Source organism: Homo sapiens, chromosome 14, assembly GCF_000001405.40.
Source record: "Homo sapiens chromosome 14, GRCh38.p14 Primary Assembly".
Classification (NCBI taxonomy): domain Eukaryota; kingdom Metazoa; phylum Chordata; class Mammalia; order Primates; family Hominidae; genus Homo; species Homo sapiens.
Window position 1 is genome coordinate 106,156,896 of NC_000014.9, and position 24,888 is coordinate 106,181,783.

General features: G+C 41.4%; 4 pseudogenes, 1 gene segment (V, D, J or C) and 1 further gene; all 6 read right to left on the reverse strand.

Moving 5' to 3' along the window:
* The window catches only part of IGH (immunoglobulin heavy locus), a 1,293,408-nt gene that overhangs the window by 570,459 nt on the left and 698,061 nt on the right, over positions 1–24,888 (reverse strand).
* Positions 6,639–6,909, reverse strand: IGHVII-15-1 (immunoglobulin heavy variable (II)-15-1 (pseudogene); annotated as a pseudogene). Its single transcript is given in 1 exon segment — positions 6,639–6,909. A coding segment is annotated over 1 exon segment (271 nt).
* Positions 8,308–8,761, reverse strand: IGHV3-16 (immunoglobulin heavy variable 3-16 (non-functional)). The segment is given in 2 exon segments: positions 8,308–8,614; positions 8,716–8,761. Coding segments are annotated over 2 exon segments (353 nt in total), but the record flags the coding sequence as incomplete, so codon positions are not given.
* Positions 13,851–14,156, reverse strand: IGHVIII-16-1 (immunoglobulin heavy variable (III)-16-1 (pseudogene); annotated as a pseudogene). Its single transcript is given in 1 exon segment — positions 13,851–14,156. A coding segment is annotated over 1 exon segment (306 nt).
* Positions 17,447–17,883, reverse strand: IGHV1-17 (immunoglobulin heavy variable 1-17 (pseudogene); annotated as a pseudogene). Its single transcript is given in 2 exon segments — positions 17,447–17,752; positions 17,838–17,883. Coding segments are annotated over 2 exon segments (352 nt in total).
* Positions 21,990–23,597, reverse strand: SLC20A1P2 (solute carrier family 20 member 1 pseudogene 2; annotated as a pseudogene).

The window sequence follows — 24,888 nt, forward strand, 5'->3', positions numbered from 1 at the left end:
AAGCATTAAGATTAATAAGTAACTAATTTGAAAATTAGAACAAGTCCCAAGTGAAGTCAAAGTTACTGTGTGGTTGACAGGAAACATGGCTGGATACTAAGAGTGTGTTCACATCTGTTTTATGTAGATTAGCAATATATTTTGTATATCCCTTAGGTAATACTTTCATTGAGACTCCTGATTTAACACTATTTCTTGATGAATAACATGTAAATCATAAAGGTGGAGGTTATTACCTAATAATTCATATTACTGGTACAAACTTTCACCTAGGATATATTCCTATACCTGATGTAAAATCAGCCCAGAATGGAGAAGTTACTTCACTTATTAGAGCTTGTCAATTAACTAAAAACCAGGATTAAATACAGATGTTCTACATTAGTGCGTAATTTTAAAATGTGTTGCAAGCAGAGGAGGTTCTTACGTCTCCTGGAAGCCCCATCAAAATGGACAAAAAAAGACACTTTTAAATAAATTCCTACATTATAGAGACCTGACATATGAATTCGAAACCAAATGCCAACAAAGGAGAAAACAAACAAATAAAACAACTAGTATGGAAGCTAGAATAACGTGATGCACCATGACACCAAATATTCAGTCTTAACGTGGTTTTTAATATTATGTAAACATGGAAGGTATTGCCATTGTTCATACGATACAGAATCAATGGCACTCACAATCATCTGAGTATGTTGAAAAATGGCATCTTTAAATAAAAATTATGAAAACTTCAATAAAATATTGAACTCTCTTCACCAAGGGTTATACCATTAGCACTATGGCGTGATGGTTTCCTCCCTCAGCACACATCAGTTATTACCCTACGACTTGGTAGCTGGAAGATTCACACTTTCGAGATTTTACCCTCATCACATACCTTTGTCCTATTGCATGCATGTGTTACAAATATTGAAAATGATTTTTGTGTTGTACGCACTCCAATGACTAAAAATTTAAAGTTGCCTTTTTACCACATCTTTTAACGGCATTTTGTGATATCCGACCATGAAGTTATGTCTATTGTGTGTCTTTTATCACACAATGTGAATCTAGTTAGGAATTGCGGGAGCTTCCTCATTTGACACCAGTGGGTGTTTCGCACTGTACAATCCCCTTCCTGTGCGTGGGAAGCCTCACTCTGACCCACGACGAAACCATCACAAAAACCCTGAGCCAGTCTGCTTTCTGGCTCTATCGAGCCATTTTGGGTGTTCCTGAGAGACCAGCACTAATCTCGGCAGAGAGTTCAAGAGGTAATTAACCTTTCCATATTCACATCGGGGGAGTATGCAGCACCCACAGATGTGACATCTACATGATATTTTAATTGAGATCCCTTTGCCTTTTTGAGGTTTCAACTAGAACTGACGCTGTGAGCTTGTTGTCATGGCTCCCAAACACAGGACCCACCTGTTCCCTGAACCAGCTCCAGGACAGAGCTGGACATGCCTGGTGTGGTTTGATAAACCCCCATTTTTAATAAAATCATGACATTATTTTGCTGTATTCTAGTGTTTCCCTAAAAATATAGGTAGACCCAGTGTGTATTCATGTGTATATTCAGGAGTCTCTGATTTCTCATATATATTTAATGGAATATGTAATCCTTTCTTTAAATGATACTTTACGTTCTGGGGTACGTGTGCAGAATGTGCAGTTTTGTTACATAGGTATACACACGCCATGGTGGTTTGCTGCACCCATCAACCTGCCGTCTACCTTAGGTATTTCTCCTAATGCTATCCCTCCCCTAGCCCTTTACCTCCCAACAGGCCTCAGTGTGTGATATTCCCCTCCCTGTGTCCACCTGGTCTCATGGTTCAACTCCCACTTACGAGTGAGAACAGTGGTGTCTGGTTTTCTGTTCTTCTGTTAGTTAGCTGAGAATGATGGTTTCCAGCTTCATCCATGTCCCTGCAAAGGACATGAACTCATCCTTTTTTATGGCTGCATAGTATTCCATGGTGTATATGTGCCACATTTTCTTTATCCAGTCTATTATTGATGGACATTTGGGTTGGTTTCAAGTCTTTGCTATTGGGAATGGTGCCCCAATGTGTCTTTGTAGTAGAATGATTTATAATCCTTGGGGTACATACCAAGTAATGGGATTGCTGGGTCAAATGGTATTTCTAGTTCTAGATCCTTGAGGAATCGCCACACTGTCCTCCACAATGGATGAACTTAATTACACTCCCACCAACAGTGTAAAAATGTTACTATTTCTCCACATCCTCTCCAGCATCTGTTGTTTCCTGACTTTTTAATGGTCACCATTCTAACTGGTGTGAGATGGTATCTCATTGTGGTTTTGATCTGCATTTCTCTAATGACCAGTGATGAGGAGGGTTTTTTCATGTTTGCTGGCTGCATAAATGTCTTCTTTTGAGAAATGTCTGTTCATATCCTTCACCTACTTTTTGATGGGTTTTTTTTTCTTGTAAATTTGTTGTAGATTCTGGATATTAGCCCTTTGTCAGATGGATAGATTGCAAAAATCTCCCATTCTGTAGGTTGCCTGTTCATTCTGATGATAGTTTCTTTTGCTGTGCAGAAGCACTTTCCTTTAATTATATCTCATTTGTCAGTATTAGCTTTTGTTGCCATTACTTTTGGTGTTTTAGACTTGAAGTCTTTGCCCATGCCTATGTCCTGGATGGTATTGCCTAGATTTTCTTCTAGGATTTTTATGGTTTCAGGTCTGGATAAGTCTTTCATCCATCTTGAGTTAGTTTTTGTATAAGGTGTAAGGAAGGGGTCCAGTTTCAGTTTTCTGCATATGGCTCGCCAGTTTTCCCAACACCACTTATTAAATAGTTCCGGAATTCTTTCCCCATTGTTTGTTAGTGTCAAGATTGTCAAAGTTCAGATGGTTGTAGATGTGTGGTGTTATTTGTGAGGCCTCTGCTCTGTTCCATTGGTCTATATGTCTGTTTTGGTACCAATACCATGCTGTTTCGGTTACTGTAGCCTTGTAGTATAGTTTGAAGTCAGGTAGCATGATGCCTCCAGCTTTGTTTTTTTTTTTTTTGCTCAGGATTGTCATGGCTATGCAGGATGTATTTTTGGTTCCATATGAACTTTAAAATAGTTTTTTCCAATTCTGTGAAGAAAGTCATTGGTAGTTTGATGGGGATAGCATTCAATCTATAAGTTGCTTTGGGCAGTATGGCCATTTTCATGATGTTTATTCTTCCTATTCATGAGCATGGAATGTTTTTCCATTTGTTTGGGTCCTCTCTTATTTCTTTGAGCGGTGGTTTGCAGTTCTCCTTGAAGAGATCCTTCACATCCCTTGTAAGTTCTATTCCTAGGTATTTTATTTTCTTTGTAGCAATTTTGAGTGGGAGTTCACTCATGATTTGGCTCTCTGTTTTTCTGTTATTGGGTTATAGAAATGCTTGTGATTTTTGCACATTGATTTTGTATCCTGAGACTTTGTTGAAGTTGCTTATCAGCTTAAGGAGATTTTGGGCTGAGATGATGGGGTTTTCTAAATATACAATCATGTCATCTGCACACAGAGACAATCTGACTTCCTCTTTTCCTATTTTTATACAATTTATTTCTTTCTCTTGCCTGATTACCCTGGCCAGATCTCTCAATACTATGTTGAATTGGAGTGGTGAGAGAGGCATCGTTGTCTTGTGCTGGTTTTCAAAGTAAATGCTTCCAGTTTTTGCCCATTCTGTATGATATTGGCTGTGGGTTTGCCATAAATAGCTTTTATTATTTTGAGATACATTCCATCAATACCTAGAGCATTGAGTTTTTAGCATGAAGGGGTGTTGAATTTTGTTGAAGTCCTTTTCTGCATCTTTTGAGATGATTATGTGGTTTCTGTCATTGCTTCTGTTTAGGTGATGGATTACATTTATTGATTTGCATATGTTGAACCAGCCTTGCATCCCAGGGATGAAGCCCACTTGATCGTGGTGGATAAGCTTTTTGATGTGCTGCTGGATTTGGTTTGCCAGTATTTTATTGAGAATTGGTGCATTGATGTTCATCAGGGATATTGGCCTGAGCTTTTCTTTTTTTTGTTGTGTCTCTGCCAGGTTTTGGTATCAGGATGATGCTGGCTTCATAAAAAGAGTTAGGGAGGAGTCCCTCTTTTTCTATTGTTTGAAATAGTTTCAGAAGGAATGGTACCAGTTCCTCTTTGTACCTCTGGTAGAATTCAGCTGTGAATCCATCTGGTCACGGACTTTTTTTTTGGTTGGTACGCTATTAATTACTGCCTCAATTTCAGAATTTGTTATTGTTCTATTCAGGGATTTGACTTCTTCCTGATTTAGACTTGGGACGGTGTATGTGTCCAGGCAGTTATGCATTTCTTCTAGATTTTCTAGTATATTTGCATAGAGGCATTTATAGTATTCTCTGATGGTAGTTTGTATTTCGGTGGGATCAGTAGTGATATCCCCTACATTACTTTTTATTGCATTTATTTGATTCTTCTCTCTTTTCTTCTTTATTAATCTGGATAGCTGTCTATTTATTTTGTTGATGTGCTGTATTCAGGAGACCCATCTCATGTGCAAAGACACACATAGGCTCAAAATAAAGGGATGGAGGAATATTTGCTAAGCAAATGGAAAGCAAAAAAAAAAAATAGCAGGAGTTGCAATCCTAATCTCTGATAAAACATTTTAAACCAAAAAAGATCAAAAGAGACAAAGAAAGGCATTGCATAATGGTAAAGGGATCAATGCAACAAGAAGAGCTAAATATCCTAAATATATATGCACCAAATACAGGAGCACCCCGATTCATAAAGGAAGTCCTTAGAGACCTACAAAGAGACTTAGACTCCCACACAACAAGAGTGGGAGACTTTAACACCCCGCTGTCAATATTAGACAGATCAACGAGACAGAAAATTAACAAGGATATTCAGGACTTGAAGCAGACCTAATAGATATCTACAGAACTCTCCACCCCAAGTCAACAGAATATACATTCTTCTCAGCACCTCATCGCACATATTCTAAAACTGACCACATAATTGGAAGTAATACACTCCTCGCCAAATGCAAAAGAACAGAAATCATAACAAACAGTCTGTCAGACCACAAGTGCAATAATCAAATTAGAACTCAGGATGAAGAAATTCACTCAAAACTGCACAACTACATGGAAACTGGAAAACCTGTTCCTGAATGTCTACTGGGTAAATAAAGAAATGAAGGCAGAAATAAAGATGATCTTTGAAACCAATGAGAACAAAGACACAACATCTGAGAATCTTCGGGACACATTTAAAGCAGTGTGTAGAGGGAAATTTATAGTACTAGATGTCTACAAGAGAAAGCAGGAAAGATCTAAAACTGACACCCTAACATCACAATTTGAAGAACTAAAGAAGCAAGAGCAAATTCAAAAGCTAGCAGAAGAGAAGAAATAACTAACATCAGAGCAGAACTGAAGGAGATAAAGACATGAAAATCAATTCCAAAAAATCAATGAATCCAGGAGCTGGTTTTATGAATCTATAATTCTGTGTTGAGAAATTTAAAATTTATTTAGTTTGATGGTTGAATCCTTATGCCATCGTTCTGAGATTTTCTTTTTTATTTCTCATATATTTTATCCATCTCTAACTCCTTTTCTACCAAATTATATATGTTTAAATTTGTAGTATTTTAAGAAGTCGAAATTAGAAAGTAATAATCTTCACTTAATGTGTACAATTTGACAAATAATGACATAACCATAACCTTTCTCAATACAGAAAAAATTATCCTCAAAATTTCCTCTCGTTGTCCTGTAATTTCCACTTGCTACACCTTCCCTTCTCATACCATGTCCACGGCCAACTACTGGTTTTCATTATGTAACTTTAGATTAGTTTTCATTTTATAAAATTTATAAAAGTGGAACTGTATGTATGTACTTGTATTTCTTTGGCTTATGTTACTCGTCATAAGTACTTGTGAATTTACCCTTGTTGAGCATTTCCAGCCGTACTTGTTTGAACAGTGGGTATTATTCAAGTGAACGAATTTAGAACAAAGTGTTTACTGCTTAACCTGCTGATCAATATTTGGATTGCTTTCAGTATCTGGGTATTATAAATAAAGGTGCTACTCAGCTTAGAGAACTACACAGTTGAGAAAGACAATGTTCTTATTCCTACATCAACATGAACAGCAGTTAAACTGAAAAAGCTGCACTTCAGTAAATTTTCTTCAACGCATCAGGTAATTAAAGTTGTAGAACTCTTTGTGGGTGTCAGTTTGTGTGTGAGAGAGGAGGGAGGAAGGGACACAGAAAAAGTGAGAGATCCTACATAATTAACCATAACTTATGAGGTGCTCAAATACATACAGGGACTTCGTCCTAATGGACAAGGTCCACATAAGATGGAAAGGACAACTTGGTGCACCTACGTATGGCTATATATTTATATAAATATCATTGTCTAATAATAAAATAATATACATTAGAATAAATATAGTGGAGAGTAAAATATGACAGTGATGAAAAACCCCACCTCCAGCACCTTTTTTCCCCTCTTGCACCTGCCTTGATGTGTCCTGAGAGCCCTTGGTGTCTGAGCACCCCCTGGTGTCCTGAGCTTCCCTGCAGGGAGGTTTGTGTCTGGCCTCACAATGACCTCCCCTTCTGTGTCTTTTGTATAAAAATCCATGGTGGTTTACTCATTGTGCGGGTAGCTCAGCTGTAGGAAAAACTGTTTTCTGAATGTGGATCTGGAGGTGGTGACTGGACTCTTGAGAAGCGGGTTGCACTGTGTGTTTCCTCGTGACCTACACACCTGACCCACTTCAGCTTCTTCCCTGGGGGCTGGCAGATACAGCTCCAGGAGGAAGTACTGGTTATGATTGGAAATCCAGAGACAGCACAGGTGAAGGAGAGGGTCTCTGAGGGCTTTACTAGAACATGAGTGCACTGAAAAACACAATTTTTTTCATACGCAGGATCTGAATGACATTTTGATGAGGACGATCCTGGGCTAGAAGCATCAATAACAAGGTTGACATCAGTGTAAGGTTGGATAGGCAGTTGCTGTGCAGATATTTTCACAGAAGTAATTCTTTCATTGTTGTGGTTGCCTTGTGCAAGATTGTGGCCTTTCCGAGTGTTAAAAAGCTAGCTCTTGTTGTTAGGGATATAAGTAATTATTTTGTTGTTGTGGTTATTCTGAGTGTTATAAAGCTAGCTCTTGTTCTCAGGGATATAAGTAATTCTTTTATTGTTGTGGTTGCCTTTGTTCAATTTGTGGTTTTTTGGAGTGTTATAAAGCTAGGTCTTGTTCTCAGGGGTATGTGCATGAGAAGCTTCCATCCATGGCCTTCCCCAGCTCCATTTGTCAGGGTTTGAACACAGGGGACTCCAGTTGGATTCCGACAAATTTTACAAGCTCTTCTAACACTACTGGTGAAGAAGGTGACTCTGTGACAGTTTACACAGCACAGGATCAATTCCACATCCTCACCCCATTTTGACCAAAGAAGCTTGTGCCCTCATTACTAATGGCCACACGCGTTCTCAGACGCGTCTCCAGAAAACAGAGTGGAGTATCCTGAACAATGAGAGAGAAGAAAGTCTCAGCAGCCTCTCCCAATGGCTGCAGGAGTCACAGCCTGAGCCCCACCTAAGCTCCAGGGAAAGGGCTTGAGCCCCAGGATTTAGACCACAGGGACAACATCCTTTTATCCAGAAAGCAGGAAAATCAAATGGAAAAGCGAGAACCACTAAAAATGAAAGTCAGGAAGCACCAGATCAGTGCTGATACTCATTTGCATACTTTATTGTCAGGAGAAATGTCATACATAAAATCTGTGAGGTCCTACATGACACTGAACCTGGTCCAGCCTCTCTCTTGGCTGTAATCGAAATCCCTAAAAGCCATTCTAGTCAGGGAATCCCATTGAGGTTACTGTCCTGAGTCTGACTGGAGAAGACTCACCAGGCACCCCTGAGCTTCCTCACAACTCTGATGCTGGTGACCATGGTTGAGGAGTTTTCATTCCCGTAGGTGGCAATATACATATTGTGCATGTGAGAATGAGTCCTCGTATTATAATGATTTAAAAAAATATATGTAGAGATGACATTGGTGGGCACAGAAATCTAAAATTAAAGAGTTTCCCTAGGGAAACTGTCAGAAGCAGAGGAAGTCCCAAATCCTGACAGGAAACAAACCCCAGCCTCCATGTGCACCTGCTCTGGGGTTGACTCTGATGAGTGGGCCCTGAGCACCCCCTGCAGCTGATTTCGCCCAGTGTTCCTGCAGGAGGTTTGTGTCTGGGCTCGCACTTGTGTCCCCTCACAGGATTTCTCACACAGTAATACACAGCCATGTCCTCGGCTCTCCGTCTGTTCTTTTGCAGATACAGGGAGTTCCTGGAATTGTCTCTGGAGATGATGAATCGGCGCTTCACGGAGTCCACATAGTGCGTCCTACTGCCATTCCAACTAACACCCGATACCCACTCCAGCCCCTTTCCTGGAGCCTTGCGGGCCCAGTTCATGTCACTGTTACTGAAGGTGAATCCAGAGGCTGCACAGGAGAGTCTCAGGGACCCCCCAGGCTGTACCAAGCCTCCCCCAGACTCCACCAGCTGCACCTCACACTGGACACCTGCAAACACAGAGACACCCTGGTCAGAAACTGCCACACATATCCACTGTTTCTCTCACTCATGTCCACTCACTCAATATCCTTAGTTCTCCATGAATCACCTTTTAAAATACCAGCAAGAAAAACCCAGCTCAGCCCAAATTCCATGGTAATTTGTTTATTGCTGTTGACCCAATAGAAACACCTGAGAATCCCAGGGCTGGGGCTTCTCTCCCAGGGCTGCAGGGTCAGGGCTGCGCTGCTTTTCATCAGAAAAGGGAGGGTCCTATTTGCATGTCTCCTATTATATAGCAAGCTCTGAAGTGGGACACCTGAGGAGAGGACTGAGCCCAGAGTAATGAGAGTGAAATAGCAAACCTGAACAACTACAAATAAAAGAAAAAAAAAAACCTTCAACATATCAGAGTTGATATCATGGAGCAAACATAAACTGAAAATTTGAGGATAGGGGTTGATAGGGAGACCCAGGATGCATATATGAGTGTGCCTGGGGCAGGTGTCGCTCCATGGCATTTAAGCTAACCTGGAAACACTTAGAGTTCCTTGAGGATGTGCGCATTAACGGTGTTGGAGTGTGAAGCTTTTAGTGCCATATACTGTTGCAGGCTTTCCTTACGAAGTTTGAAATATCCCAGATGACCTCACACTCACACAGTGTGACCTTGCACATCCCCAAGGTCACCTCACACTCACCCAAGGTGACCTTGCACATCCCCCAGGTCACCTCACATGTGCCCTGAGTCACCTCACACATCCCCAATGTCACCTTACACATCCCCCAGGTCACCTCACACATTCCTGTGGCCACCTCACACAAGTCCCTATTCACCTCACACATCCCGCAGGTCACCTCGTAAATCTGCTAGGTCACCACACACATGCACCAGGTCACCTCATGCATTCCTCAGGCACTTCACACCTGCCCCTGTTCACCTCACACATCCCCCAGGTAAACTAACACATGCACCAGGTCACCTCACATGCACCCAGGTCACTGCACACATGCCCTTTGTCAGCTCATACATTTCCCTAGGTCACCTCACACATCCCCCAGGTCAACTCAGATGTGCCTTAGGTGACCTCACATGTGCTCAGGTCACCTCACACGTCAGGGGGGTCACCTCACATATACCCCATGTCACCTCACACACACTCCTGCTAAGCTCACACACCCCCCACGTCACCTCGAATGCTCCCAGGTCACCTCACACATTCCCCCAGGTCACCTCACACATTCCCCATGTCACCTCACACGTCCCCCAGGTCACCTCACACGTCCGCCAGGTCACCTCACACATGCCTGAGGTCACATCATACATATCCAAGTCACCTCACGAATTCCCCATGTCACCTCATACATGTCCAGGTAACCTCACACGCACCCAGGCCACCACACATGCACCCTGGGTCACCTCACATGTGCCCAAGTTCACTGCACACATACCCCCAGGTAACCTTACACCTCCCCCAAGTCACCTCACTGTCACGTGACCAGGGCACCTCACCTTCATACAGGTCCATTCACACATGCTATCATACATGCATACATTATGGAATTGTTAATCAAGCTATTTAACATATCCAGCACCTCATAAATGTATTTCTTTTTTTTTTTGAGACTGAGTCTCACTCTGTCACCCCGGTTGGAGTGCAGTGGTACGATCTTGGCTCACTGCAGCCTTTGCTTCAAGCAATTCTCCTGTGGTGAACACCACGCCTGGCTAATTTTTGTGTTTTTAGTGGAGACAGGGTTTCACCATCTTGGCAAGTCTGGTCTTGAACTCCTGACCTTGTGATCCACCCACCTCGGCCTCCGAAAGTGCTGGGTTTACAAGTGTGAGCCCCCGCTCCCGACCTGTATAATTTCTTAGTGGGAAAAAATTTTAACATTTGCATGTTTAGCCATTTTGAAATATATAATGCATTCACAGCCATATTTTCCATCTTGTGCATTAGAACACTGTAACTTACTCCTTCTGTCTAACTGGAACATTTTACACTTTGACCACAATCTCTCCTTTTCCAGTCCACCCCTCCAGCCCCTGGTAACCAACATTCTATTCTACTTCTGTGAGTCTACCATTTAAACAAACTACAGTGAAATCACGAATCACTTGTCTTCTGCGCCTGCTTGTTGCACTTCACGTGTGGTCCTCTAGAGTCATGATTGCTATCGCATTTCAAAACCAATCATGCCTGTTCAAGAGTCCGCCAAAGTCTTAACTCATTTGAGCCTTAACTCAAAAGTCCACAGTCCAAGGTCTCATTTGAGATGAGGCAAGTCTCTTCCATCTATGAGCCTGTAAAATAAAAACCAAGTCAGTTACTTCCTAGAAAGAATGGGAGTTCAGGCATTGTGTAAATACAGCCATTCCAAATGGAGAAATTGGTCCAAACTACAGGTCCCATGCAAGTCTGAAATCCAGCTGGGAAGTCAAATCTTAATGTTCCAAAATAATCTTCTTTGACTCCATGTCTCAAATCCAGGTTACCTGATGTAACAAGTGGGTTCACATGGTCTTGGGAAGTTCTGCCCCTGTGACAGAACTTTTTTAAAACTTTTCAAATGAAAAGTTTTAAAAAACTTTTGCAGGGCACAGTCTCCCTCCTGGCTGCTTTCACGAGCTGGCATTGAGGGTATGTGGTTTTTCCAGAAACATGGTGCAAGCTGTCAGTGGATCTACCATTCTGGGTTCTGGAGGGCAGTGGCTTTCTTCTTACAGCTCCACTAGGTGGTACACCAGTAGAAACTCTGTGTGGGATTTCCGACCCCACATTTCCCTGCCACACTGGGACTAAAGGCTTGTGCCACAATACCTGGCTAATTTTTGTATTTTTAGTAGAGACGGGGTTTTACCCTGTTGACCAGGCTGGTCTCAAACCCTTGACCCCAGGTGATCTGCCTGCCTAAGATTCCCAAAGTGCTGGGATTACAGGCTTGAGCCACCATGCCTGGCCAAGATTAATATAACTATGTCATTTAATGATGTATTTGAAAACTTCATGGTTCTACAAACACACATACATACACAACAGCCCAGCAAAGACACATACATGTGCCCATGCAAAAGTGAATGTATATCTAAACACCAAAACAGCACACCCATTTGTTTCATATTTTTTTAATTACTTAATTGAATTTAAATTGTGTTTGCAGTTTGAGGTTGTAGTAGAAAATAATGCTCTTCTACGTGTATGTCTGCCTATTCCAATACTAAAAAGACAAATATATTTAAATACATGTTTTGTTAAAGCTGAATGTAAATGCTGTTCTTGCCAAATATGTCACTCAAATGTGCAATGGTATTAACTTTAAATATCAGTCTGTTTTTAATAAATTGAATAACTAATAGGACAAACGTTGTATTACATTATTTGTTAAATTTAGATTGTAGTTTTCAAACTAGGCAAGATAAAATTGTTTCATTTGAAAAATTTTTAAAAAACTTTTTTGGCATGAATATTCAATACAAACTCTAGTATTTATTTGTCAATATTCCTTTACAACAGAGAACATCCAGGAATATGAAACTGAACACAGTCCATGATTTTCAGGGCTCACTCACAATGGCATCTTCCTAGAGGGTGGTCTCAGAGGGTCCAAGCACATGGGGATTTGGACTTGATCATCAAAACACTAGTGAGCCCCAGGGCTGAGCACACAGAGGGCAGCAGGAGCTGCAGAGCCCACTCTGTGGTACTTAGGGAAACGAGGAGATGGTCTGCAGGACCCTGGAAAAGGGTGAGTTAGGGCAGAGAGTCTGCAGGTAGACGAGCATATTCTAAGGAGAACCATTATCCTCTAAACTTGGTTGGCTTCAGTGATTATGAAGAGAAGAGAACTGATTCACCAGACTTGGAGGTCAGAAAGTAAAGGGACTTTCTTTTTCCTTCATGGAGACTGAGGAAAGTAAAATACTTTCAAAGAGAAAGGGAAGATGGAGAAATAGTCTGAAAAACAGGACACCTGAAGCCAACCAAAATGGAGAACAAGAGCATTTAAAGTCGTGTTTAATTTCCAAAAACAGCAGATGAAAGAAAAATAAACAAAATACCATGTATATGCTGAGTTAATGTTAAAAAACATGTACAATTGTTTGACTATTACAGCACAAAAATACAAAACTCTAATCATTGAAACAGTTTGTATTGAGGATATACATTTTCTTTAAATAGGGTCTCACTCTGTCAACGAGGCTGGAGTGCAGTGGCACAATCACAGCTCACTGCAGCATTAACCTCCCAGGCTTAAGGGATCCTCCTGCCTCAGCCTTTCAAGTAGCTGCTACCACAGGTGGAACCATACCCAGGTATTTATTATTATTATTATTATTTTATATATATATATAGAAAAGACCTCACTGTGCTGCCAGGCTGTTCTAAAAGTCCTGAGCTCAAGTGATCTGCCTGCCTTAGCCTCCCAAAGTGCTGGGATTACAGGTGTGATTTTTATAACTTTACTATTTTAATAATAGTATTATTTTTAATCAAGAAAATATATAAATAACCTATTGTAAAAATTGTCCTGAGAGATCATTGCTAGTATTACTTGGAAAATATGCAGCATTAAAAGTTGAATTAAATTCCTGTTCTAAGTTAATGTTTTGTAGGTAAAAGTAATCATGGACTTACAAGGAAGAAATGGTGAGAGATCCTGGGGAAGACTTTTGCTTGACCAGGTCGGGAATCACCAAGGTTTAAAAGAAAACCACAGCCTCTCAGGCTTCTGATTTGGAGCTGCCTCCTAAGAGAACCCCCCTGTACTGAGCGCCCCCTGGTGGTTCTGAGTGCCCCTGGTGTCATGAGCGCCCCCTCGTGGTACTGAGGGCACTCTGATATCCTGAGCACCCCTGATGCTTCTGAGCGCCCCCAGGTGTCCTGAGCGCCCCCTGGTGGTTCTGAGCGCCCCCTGGTGTCCTGAGCGCCCCCTGGTGGTCCTGAGCACCCCCTGGTGACCTGAGTGCCTGCTGGTGGTCCCAGGCAAACCCTCGTGTCCTGAGCGCCCCCTTGTGATTCTGAGTGTCCCCTGGTGTCATGAGCGCCCCCTCGTGATCCTGAGCACCCCCTAATATCCTGAGTGTCCCGTGGTCCTAAGCACACCCTGGTGGTTCTGAGTGCCCCCAGGTTGTCCCCAAGGTGCCCTGGTGGTTCTGAGGAGCATCTACCATGCAGCTCCCTCCTGTCTTCCTGCAGAGATTTTTCTGTCTGGGCTCACGCAGATATTCCCTCTCCTGTGTCTCTCACAGTATTACAAGGCCTTGTCCTTGACTTTCAGTTTGGTCCCTTTAAGGTAGACTGCACATGAAAAGGTGTCACTTGGGACTGTTAATTTATTTGTACTCATGGAGAGTAACTCTGAGAACTCCCACTTGATCACTCACTGTTTCCACCCACACCAATCCCTGTCATGAAGCCTGCTGGACCAAGCTCATGCTGTAGCCAGTAAAGGTGAAATCAGAGGCTTTGCATGAGAGTCTCAGTGAACCACTGGGCTGTACAATTTTTCCCCCCTGACTCTATCAGTAAATTTCACACAGGACTTCTGCAAACACAGAGGAAATGGAAGAACGGCCCCATGTGGAGCAGCCGCAGCTGGACCTGATTCACAAGGGACACTAATATTGAGGGTGATGAGAAGGGAAGCCCAAATCAGGGCAGACCCCATGGTGTGGACACCGAGGAAGGGAACAGACATGGGTTGGCTCCTCACCAGGGCCTGAAGGAACAGGGGATGAGCTGCCTTTCATGAGGAGGGGAGGGGACACATTTCCTTGTCTTTCTTTTTGTGGTCTTGGGTGCACCGCTCAGCATTGCTCATCTGTCCTCTGTGTCTCCATTTCAGGGGGGCAGGATCAAAGGACTCGTGGGTCTGGATGCACAGGGTTAATCTGCCGATTAGTCTTTTTTATTTTCTAGTGTGGACCCTGTTCAGGTATCTTCACAGTAGCAAACATTATCAAAAAAATACATCCAGTAAGAATATAAAAATACATTTCCAGAGAAAATGGACACCAATCTCTAATCGGTGCATATAGAGCTGCAAACTATTGTTCTTGACAATAAGGCAAAGTTAAGGTACAATAAAAAAATGCAGATCTACACCTTGTCAGGAGGGATTTTATAATTATTATCTTGAGATCATTTTGCCATAAAACAGTTCAACATTGGATATATGTGCTTGTGTCAGGAAACAGTCACTGTGGAAATATTTGTACTTATCAGAGTGAAGAGTTCACATGCAGACATGTTTGTTTGTCTGAGACAAGAGTCCACTTGAGGAAATGTCATTACTAGAGGAAAGAGTAAATGTAAGGACATATGTGGTGGTCTGAGGAAAGAGTCCATGTGGGGACAGGTGTGTTGGTCTGAGGGAAGAATCCACGTGAGTAAAGGTGTGTTTGTCTGACAGAAGAGTCCCCATGTTGACAGGTGTGTTACCCATCTGAGGGTAAATGCCCATTCAGGGACAGTGTGTGCCTGAACTGAGCTGAAGTTTGGGGAAAATCTTTCTCAACCAAGGAAAGAAAAGAATTATCTGGGTTATTTGCTCGTCAGGAAGAAAAAACCTGGGTCACGTAGAAAATTGATTTTTTTAAAATTAAAGGTCTTTAGTGAATGGTAACATCTTAAATGCAAATGAGGAAAATTACTTCATTCTTTTTTGCATGCATCTCATGACATCCCCACCCTCACCAAATAAGTTATTAGATAACTTGATACAGTCTGCATTTAATCCTGGGGTTAATGAACTGCTAAATACTTTTTACAAAAATTGTATATATTTAGGTTTATATTTTCCATCACACATTTATGAGCTTAGACAAATTAACTGCATCGTGTCTCAACCATTTTATATCACTAAAAATAATTTTACTATTCTTAAACAGTGCCATTTGTACTTATTTAATACTCACTCTCTAAGTTCCTTGAATATCCTCTATCTGTTTACTTGACTATAGTTTTGGTTTATACCGAATTTCAAATAAATGATATTATATAATGTAATTGAAATGACTTCACTAAAGAAAGTAGAAAATGAAGTTGCTAATCTAATTAACTTTGGAAATGAGGAAATTCTATAAGTTTAAAATGTAAAGAAACTACACATAACACTCTATTCTAGTAGATAAACATATTTCCAATGAGCTTTACATTTCTGATACCGCTATGCATGTGTCCTAAAATTGTGCAACTAGGTAATAATAAGGCAGTTGGTAGGATAGGATTCCTCACTTTGCAGTGGGTGGTTATGGACAGTCAAGGAAGGAAGGCTAGAAAGGTCCATGTGGTAGCATAGTTGGGTCAGGAGACCAGTGTGTTCTCATTTTTAATATAATAAAGTTACAGAAGATTAGTTACATAAATAGTTTTGATGCGTCCACAAACATGGGTTCATATAAACATGCACGTCTACTAGGCCAGTAGGTTGAGAGGTCCTAGAAGTAATTGTACACGGTATCACAATTTTTTTTATTTTACTGCTATTCGTTAACATTAGAAACAAGCAATCTTTAGAAAAAAGGCTAATTCTATGTACAAAAAAGGTAATATAGAAAATGAGCTTAGAATTTATTGTAATACAAGGAAACAGGGAAGTATTCAAAAACAAAAGGATGAGGTGTGCTGTAAGGATACAGGATCCAAATTAAATGAGCTCCCAGGACCTAATAAAGCTGTGGTGATTTGAACGATAAAATGAATAATATAGCATGGATCTTCTTCAGAGTATGAAATATATATTCATAAACCAATACACATATTAATAGATGATTATATAAATAAATATTGGGAAGACGAACACATTTCCTTACAGAAGTATTCCAAATATCTGAAATGGATAGTCCTCCAATCAAGTAGATGAAGTTTAAACACTCATGAGTTGATTGTGGCCTGAGTTGAGAGACATGGAAAAAATAATCACTATTAGTGTATTTTATAATGAGACTTCATATATATTGCCAAATACATCATCTATGAATGAATGCAATTTTACATGTTTTTGAGTCTAAATTTGTACAAACAGACACATACACACACAGACACATACACACACATATGTTTCTGCAATACACACTGATAAGGGAATAAAGACAGCCACAGACTTGGAGAAAATACTTCCAAGTCACATATTTGTGAAATGAATTCTTTTAATTTGTGAAATGACTTTTATAAACAATATGCAAGTCAACTTGCAATGAATCGAAATGAAGCAATGCAGTTAAAATGAACCGAATGTCAGGAGAGGCGTCTCAACAGAAGTTATACGAAAATTGTTAAATATGAACTTTTGGAGGGACATGTGCATTTAAATAAAAATTAGATCCCATTACTCACCTACTAGATTGGTTAAAACACACAATTCTCGTAAGGATACATGACAATATGAATGTGGAAAACCAAGAACTATCATGCATTGATGGTGGGAATTCAAAATGCTACATGCACAAAAGGAGATTTTTTTGGCATTTTTAATAGACATAAATGCAGACTTAAAATGTGATTTTGTGTCTGTGTTCCAAAATACTTACAGCACTGATTAAGAAATTAATGTTTACAAAGATACCTTCAGAGGAAGTTCTGTATTAGTTTCATTAATTTGATTCATTCTGTAATCATTGAAATTTGTTTACAGAATAAATGCTGTATGAAAAATCTCTCAAATAATTAAAATTTCTCAAATACACATTAATATTGTTCCTTTTCTTTAATGACTTAGTGTCATTTTCTAAGAAAATCTTTAATCTAATAATCTTTGTCATCTCCTCTGTGTCAGCACAGGTGCCTCCTTCCTGGGGTTTCTGACACTCTCAGGATGTGGGTTTTCGCACTGTGTCTCTCACACAGGAATACACGACCATGTCTTCAGATCTCAGGCTGCTCAGCTCCATGTAGGCTGTGCTCACGGACCTGTCACTGGTAATGGTGACTCTGCCCCGGAACTTCTGTGCGTAGTGTGTGTTATCATTGTAAGGGTTGATGCATCCCAACCACTATGCCCTTGTCCAGGGCCCTGTCGCACCCACTGTGTAAAGTATTTGGTGAAGGTGTATCTGGAAGCCTGGCAGGAGACCTTCACTGAGGACGCAGGCTTCTTCACCTCAGCCCCAGGCTGCAACAGCTGAACCTGGGAATGGACATCTGTGAGGAGAAGGGAGGAGATGATAAAAGCCCCCTTGACTGGACTCAATCCCCTCCTCATCACTAGGACTTGGGAGCCCCTTACCTGTGGCAGCTGCCACCAAGAAGAGGATCCCCCAGGTACAGTCCATGGTGAGGAGCTGTGCTCTCAGGGGCTTCTATAGAGGAGGGATGTGGTTGTTGGGTGATGCTCTCAGGGCACAGACATCCAAATTCACCTCAGTGGATCTCAGGTTATTTGCATATTCATGAGACAGAGCATTTCATAGCGCAAAGCCTGGTCAATAATAAGAAAGGGAAGATAAATGACACATCAGATTTACAAGAGTGAGATGCTGATGGTCCAAGCGCTATTCCTGTTTGAGGAAATGCATGCCCTGCTCCATTTATGAACACTCGTGAACAGAGGTCCTTTCACAGAACAATCCCCCTCAGAACACGCTCCTCACAGTGAACCTACATTTTATAAGCACAGAGAGCACCTGGATGATTTCTGGAACCATCACTCTCCATGACACTGAGGAGGTGCCTTGGTTCTGTCCTGGGTCCATCAGTCACCAGCACAGCTGACTGGTGACTGAGAAAGTTACTGCTGATGTCCCACGTGAGTGACCAGCAGGTCCCTCTGAGATCTGCTGGGCGCTCCTGAAACAGGGTCTCCAGCACCTGCCTGGTGTTCAGATCCCCCAGGATCTTCCATAGAAACACTCTTGTTTACAGATTTGCTGTGTGATGTGTGATTAGAGATGATTTTCTCATCTCAGGAACAATAAGAATCAGAAGCTGAAACAGTAGTTTTGAATTCTTTATGAACTCACTGCTCCCAAAATAATTGTCAAGGAATTTGTGTTTTGAATAATTTGGGGTTAATTTTGGACTCAATTTACTGGAATTTTTTGAAGTATTTATATATTTTCAATTCATATCCATAGGTCCTCATCTTTACATATTGATTTCTGACTCACCTGCTCGGTGCCCCCGACAGCCCAGCCCCTGCCTTGCAAGGAGGTTCCTTGCTGAGACTTCAAATCATTTCCCCCAGGCTTCTCTAGCCCAGCATGAAATGGCTGTGTGCTAGTGTAGAATACTCCTTCAGTGACACCATATGCTGCTGACACCATCTCTTGAAACAATTGATTAGCCTTACTAAACCTATTGAACTCTGCAGGGAGACCCAGAGCAAGGATTCAATGACACAGGAGGGAGCCCCTTCCCTGAAGCTCCAGATTCACTTCATTAGTGGAACCAAAATGAAGACAAAAACTTACAAGAGATTTGCGAGTGCCATGTTTCTTCACTGGGCTCTTGCAGTTGAATGTTGCATCTGAGAATACTAGCAGGTGCAGATACATTCAGATGAAAGCCCACTCCATATCCACTATTCCAATAACACACATTTTCCCTTCTTCCTAATATGTGGCTTTTAGGAAGTGCCTCCTACACTGACACCAGGCCCAGTTATCTGACTTTCTTCTCCTAGAGATCTAAAGCAAACAGGATACAGGTGGAGACTTGGGAAGTCCATGCAGGTTGTTATTTTCACTTTCTCAGCTAGGAAACCAGCAAAGGTCCCATAATAAAAGAAGCTGAGAACTATGATGGCATTTACAAGATGTTGGTCTTAAAAATCACGATGTCAGAGGCTTCACATTGCTCTACTGTCTTTGTCTCACCCTCTGCCATTGTCTTAGTATTTCTGTGTTCTCCTCAGATGGAGTCTGTGCATTGCCACACTTTCATCTTTAATCCATAGCCATCATCCTAGTTAGAATGGATTGTGCAGTGCAGGTAAGCACTGCCTGTTCTTCCAATGGAAACCTAGAGATTCAATAGGCTTCCTCTTCTGGGCTGTGACCTTGACAAAGCATCTCCAGGGGAAAAGCTCATTTTTGGCTGTTACTCCCTTTTGAGGTTTCGGCCTCCCTGGACTATTTATGTACGTCTTACCCCTTTTGGCTAACTTTACTCATTCATATAATAATGGAAGAATGGGGGAGAATCTGGAATGGGAGATTTGTCTTCCTTCACATAGGATAAGGTTCTGGAAAAGTCATTCCCTTTAGAAGCTTTTGAAGTGGGCTCCTGGTATATTTCTCTGTAATTAATCATCTTCATTTCATCTTCAATTCTGACCCATCGGAAATTTATTTGGATTGTATATTTTAGAATCTGGAGGTTTCTGGAGAGAAAGTCCAGAAACCTTAGAAGTATAAGACCCTCTGGAACGGTCACATTTACCGAGTCCACATTTGTCTTTCAGACGTCCGTAGTGGTTACCATGTAAGTGCCCTCAACAGCTTGTGGCTTCTGCAGTTTCTGCACCAGGTAAGCAAGTGCTAACTGCCATTCTGGACATGCCCATCTCTCCAGTTTTTGGAGTGGGTAATATTTCTTGCAATTTCAGTTATTTAATAGATTCCAAAATGTACTGACATTCAGATTATGCAGATTTATTTTGACATAAAATATGACGGTGATGAATTTTATAATCAATATTTTGGAGCATAAACCAAAAGTACAATCAAAGGTCACCTTTGATGTGTTACTGGAGGCAGAATTCTGACCTTATTCCATGTAGGTGGCACATCTGACATAAATAAACAGGCAAGAAAACAGAGAAAGGACATGGCACAACACTGTGCCATGGCACAACTCTGGTTGCCCTTAAAACTTTTTCCTTCATTTCAACCTTGGTGAATCTGACAATTATGTGTCTTAGGGTTGCTCTTCTCAGCGAGTGTCTTTGTGGTGTGTGGTTATTGGGTGATGCTCTCAGGGCACAGACATATCTGTAGTGTTCACCTCAGGTGATTTGCATATTCACGAGAACTACTACTTCATAGCCTTACCCTTGATCCAGCATGAGAAAGAGAAAATAGATCTCACATGAACCACACAACTGTGGGATGCTGAGGTACAAGTCCTCGTTCTTATTTAATGTCGTGTTTCCCTTTATATGCCCAAAACTTTGTGAAGGGAGAACTTCTCCACTAAGAAGGTGACTCACACAGGACATGGCACATGGACAGCCTCCGCCCTTTCTAGGCTTTGCTGTCTGCAGTCTTACTCTTGGGATCTCTGTGTCTTCTGAAATGTGTACCTTTTGATTTAATAAAACCATCCCTGTTCTTCATCTTTTTACTAGGAAAATATCTCAAACAAGTAACAATTTTGCCTTTTAAATGTGGTTCTCACTGAATTGTTGATTTGTTTATTTCTAAATGTATAGAGATAATAGAAATAGTCTTTGCAAAATTCTAATTTTAACATGTTATAATTTTTTGGTTTTCAATAAAACAACACTCAATTCTGGGAGAAATCCCCTCTGCAGCCTCCTGTGCACCAGCTCTGGGGCTGGAGCCTGTTCTGGGTGGGTCCTGGGCGCCCCCTGCAGCACTGCCTCTGCCCTGCATGGAGGTTTCCATCTGGGCTCACAGAGGATTTCTCTCTCAGTGTCTCTAGGGCTATAGGAAGAGGTCATGCCCTAGTTTAAAATGCTCCTTCAGTGACACCATATGTTACTGACACCATCTTTTGAAAACATTGACCTTAGGAGACCCAGTGAACTCTAAGAAACCATCGGGGAGCCCTTCCCTGGAGCTCAGGATACATTTAATCAGTGGACACATAGTGAGCACAAAAATTTTCAAGGGTTTTGGGGGATGCTTTATCTTGTTTGGTCTCCTGCAATTGAATATTACATCTAAGAATACCTGTAGGTATATATACTTGTGGATCAATGCCCACTCCATGTCTTCTTTTTCAATAACACACACACACACACACACACACACACACACACACACACACACAGAACTGGTTGATTTTTACAACAGTGGGCCTCTAACTTGCCATTTTTCCTAGTATCTTGCAAATGGTGAGCACCCTCTACACGGATACTAGACCTGAGTATATGACTTCCTTCTCCAAACAGAAGTAAGGAAAACAGTACACAACTGGAGACGTAGCAAGTGTACATTCATCATGTTTGCATATTGTCACCTGAGAATACTGCAGTTTCCCTAAGAGAAGTGACTCTGTGTCCACCAAGGGTTGAGTGACCCTGTTCATCAAGCTGTTGGTGTCAGAAGCTTCCAGTTGCTCTACTGTCCTTGACTTTTTTCTCCCATTGTCTTTGCATTTCCCTATGTTCTCCTCCCTATATAGAGTCTCTGCATTGCCACACTCATCTTCAATGCTGATGGGAAGGGAATGTGTGAGGATTGTGTTTTTTTTCTTTTCTTACAACTATAGGCTTTTTCATTCAGTTAAAAGGTAAACAGATTAACATTGGAGGCTATTCCATTTAACTAGCCCAAGTTCCTATTCCACTTTATATATCCCTCCCACACTGCCATACATCTTGAAGAAATGACTGCCAAAAGACTGTTTCTAACTTCTTCTTAGCAATAACCTTCAATGAATTGCTTTCAAATAAGTTATTCCTAACTTAAAATTTTATTGTGTTCAAAGAAACTCGTCCCTCTAAGAGGTTTCCACATGTGCCAATAGAACGTTCCACCACTGACAGGAGGGCAGAATACAATGATTCTAATTACAGGAGCTACTCCAAGGAAAGCTTCCATGATATTTGTGTTGTTAGATTCGGTGCTTGTTAGGGCAGAAGATGGTGAGACTAACAATGCAGACCACACTCGGTCAAATGGCTGCATGTTTGGTTGTTTTAAAAAAATCTTTGTTTATCTTTAGAGACAACATTTTAAACATAATGGAATTGAAGCCTGATACAAAATACATAGAAACTTGCGCAGGAATAGACAGCCAAGAAGCAAAGTGGAACTCAGTGGAAACCTGGCTACATTACATAGCTCATTTTGAACTGAGCCGGAATATGTAAGGTAGTCCCAAACATTGACAAAAATGTTAATGTCAAACAGCTTCACACTGTGAGGATGACATACTTGAAGACAGCCAAGATGGCAGCACTGATAATTCCAGAAATAAAGATTGTGACAAACCAGGCTATACAATGTCACGAAAGAGTCAAGTCGACAACTTTCTTGGATTAAAGCCAGGTACAAAGGAGCCCATGTTACAACGTGTTGTACTGGTGGGGAGGCCAATATCTGATGCAATCACCATAGTGAGGGCAGGAGCCAGTCCAGTACCGAAGGCACCAGAGGGTGTGAGAGTGTCAGATTCTTCCCCATGGCCTGAATCTCCTTCCTCCAAACCCACAGACTAATGCAGATTCCAACACCACCAGAGAGCAGAAGCCACACTGGCATCACCACTCTTGAGGAAACATCTCCCATGTTATAAACCAGATATAAAGCCACCAGAGAATTTATTGCATTGCTGATGTCATTACCACCATAGGCAAGTGACCTCAATCAGGCAATATGAAGTTGCAGGAACTGGAAGAGGAGAGATAGTTCAGGCTTATCTTGGCCATACCATTCTTCTCAAGAACCACTACTTCCTTTTCTCTCACCTAGACCCATCTCCACCTTGATACTCATGACTATCTTCGATCCTGAGAAGGTCAGAGACAACATTGTAGTAACCAGTGTAACTGTCCATTCAAAGTCCCTTCTTGGGGACTGCATTGGACCATGTAAGATTCTCCATTTCCTTACCCTTCTGAGGAACTTCTTTGGCATGAAATGAATCTAGAAGCATGCCACATATTGTCATGATAAAGGAAAAATAGCTATTATTGCACCTTAAGTGTTTGTCACAAAATCTCCCATGCCATCTTCCACTATGGCAATGTGCAATTTACAGAGAAGCTCTTTGTACAAGCCAGAACATTTAGGCATGGGGTAATATGCATAGTGGCCACTGAAGCCACCTGGCTGTTGATGGCTTGATTGAACTGGACCAAGATTCTTAGAATTTAATCTCAGTGATTTTGTCTTCTTTTTCTTGGCTATGACCTTTACAAGGAGTCTCCTCTAATAAAGCTGATATTTGTCTATTACGTCCTTCCCTGTCTGCAGCATCTCAGGACTATTTTTGCTCAATCTTACCCTACTGGCACATCCTTTTGTTCAATCTTACCATACTGGCAATCATTTGCCTCATAAAGGAAGGCTGGGAAGAGGGTTCTACAATGGCAGTGAAGTACCTTCCACCATGTAGATAAATTACTATAAATGTTCTTCCTGTGGGTGGTCTATCTGGAGAAGGTTCTGGGTAAAGGTGTTAGAGATTAGGTCTCTCGATGACTGACACAACTCACAAGGAATTTATGTGAATTCTAAATTAAAAATGTGGAGGTTCATGGAGCAAATGAGGGGCACCCAGAATATCTCATCCTAATAATAGTACAAACCTGTCCTTTAAGTTGTTTTAGTTTAGATTTATATATAACAAATCAAACAGCCAGGGTCATTTAAATAGTAACATGCTCAAACATATTAGGGCAGCAGCTGAATATAATAATCAAACTGAAATCAAGAAAATCTGGGAGCAAACTAATGTTTTTCATAGTTCAGAACAGCTTTATTAACTCAATTAACTTGTAATCCCAGGACTCTGGGAGGCCAATTTGGGCGGATCACCTGAGGTCAGGAGTTCGAGACCAGCCTGACCAACATGGCAAAACACTGTCTCTACTAAAAAATACAAAAATTAACTGGGCGCCGTGGCATGCACCTGTAATCCCAGCTACTTGGGAGGCTAGGGTGGAGGATTGCTTGAACCCAGGAGGTGGAGGTTGCAGAGCCGAGACCGCACCACTGCACTCCAGCCTGGGAGACAGAGCAAGACCCCATCTGAGAAATAAAAAATTTAAAAAAATTAATAAAAGTGCTTCCAACGCTGACCTTAATCCTGGTTATATTTGCGGTTGTTGTTGTTTGTTGTTGTTGTTTTGTTTCTTCAAACAGAGCTAAAGCAAGCTCAGTACTGCTGGAGATTTGGAAAGTGTCTTCACCTTGTTTTTGCCTGTTCTCACCTGGGAACCCTGTGGATGCCCCGTGAGAGGTAAATCTAAGGCCATTGACAGAGGGGCCGTGGCCTTGGTCCTGAAGCTGTTGGTCTCAGAGGCTTTAAACCGCTTCACTGTCCTTAACTTTTCCTCTCCCTCTGCCTTTGGTTTCCCTAAGGTCTAGTCCTTGGACAGAGTCTGTGCATTGCCACACTTTTCTCTTTAATCCAGATTGATCATA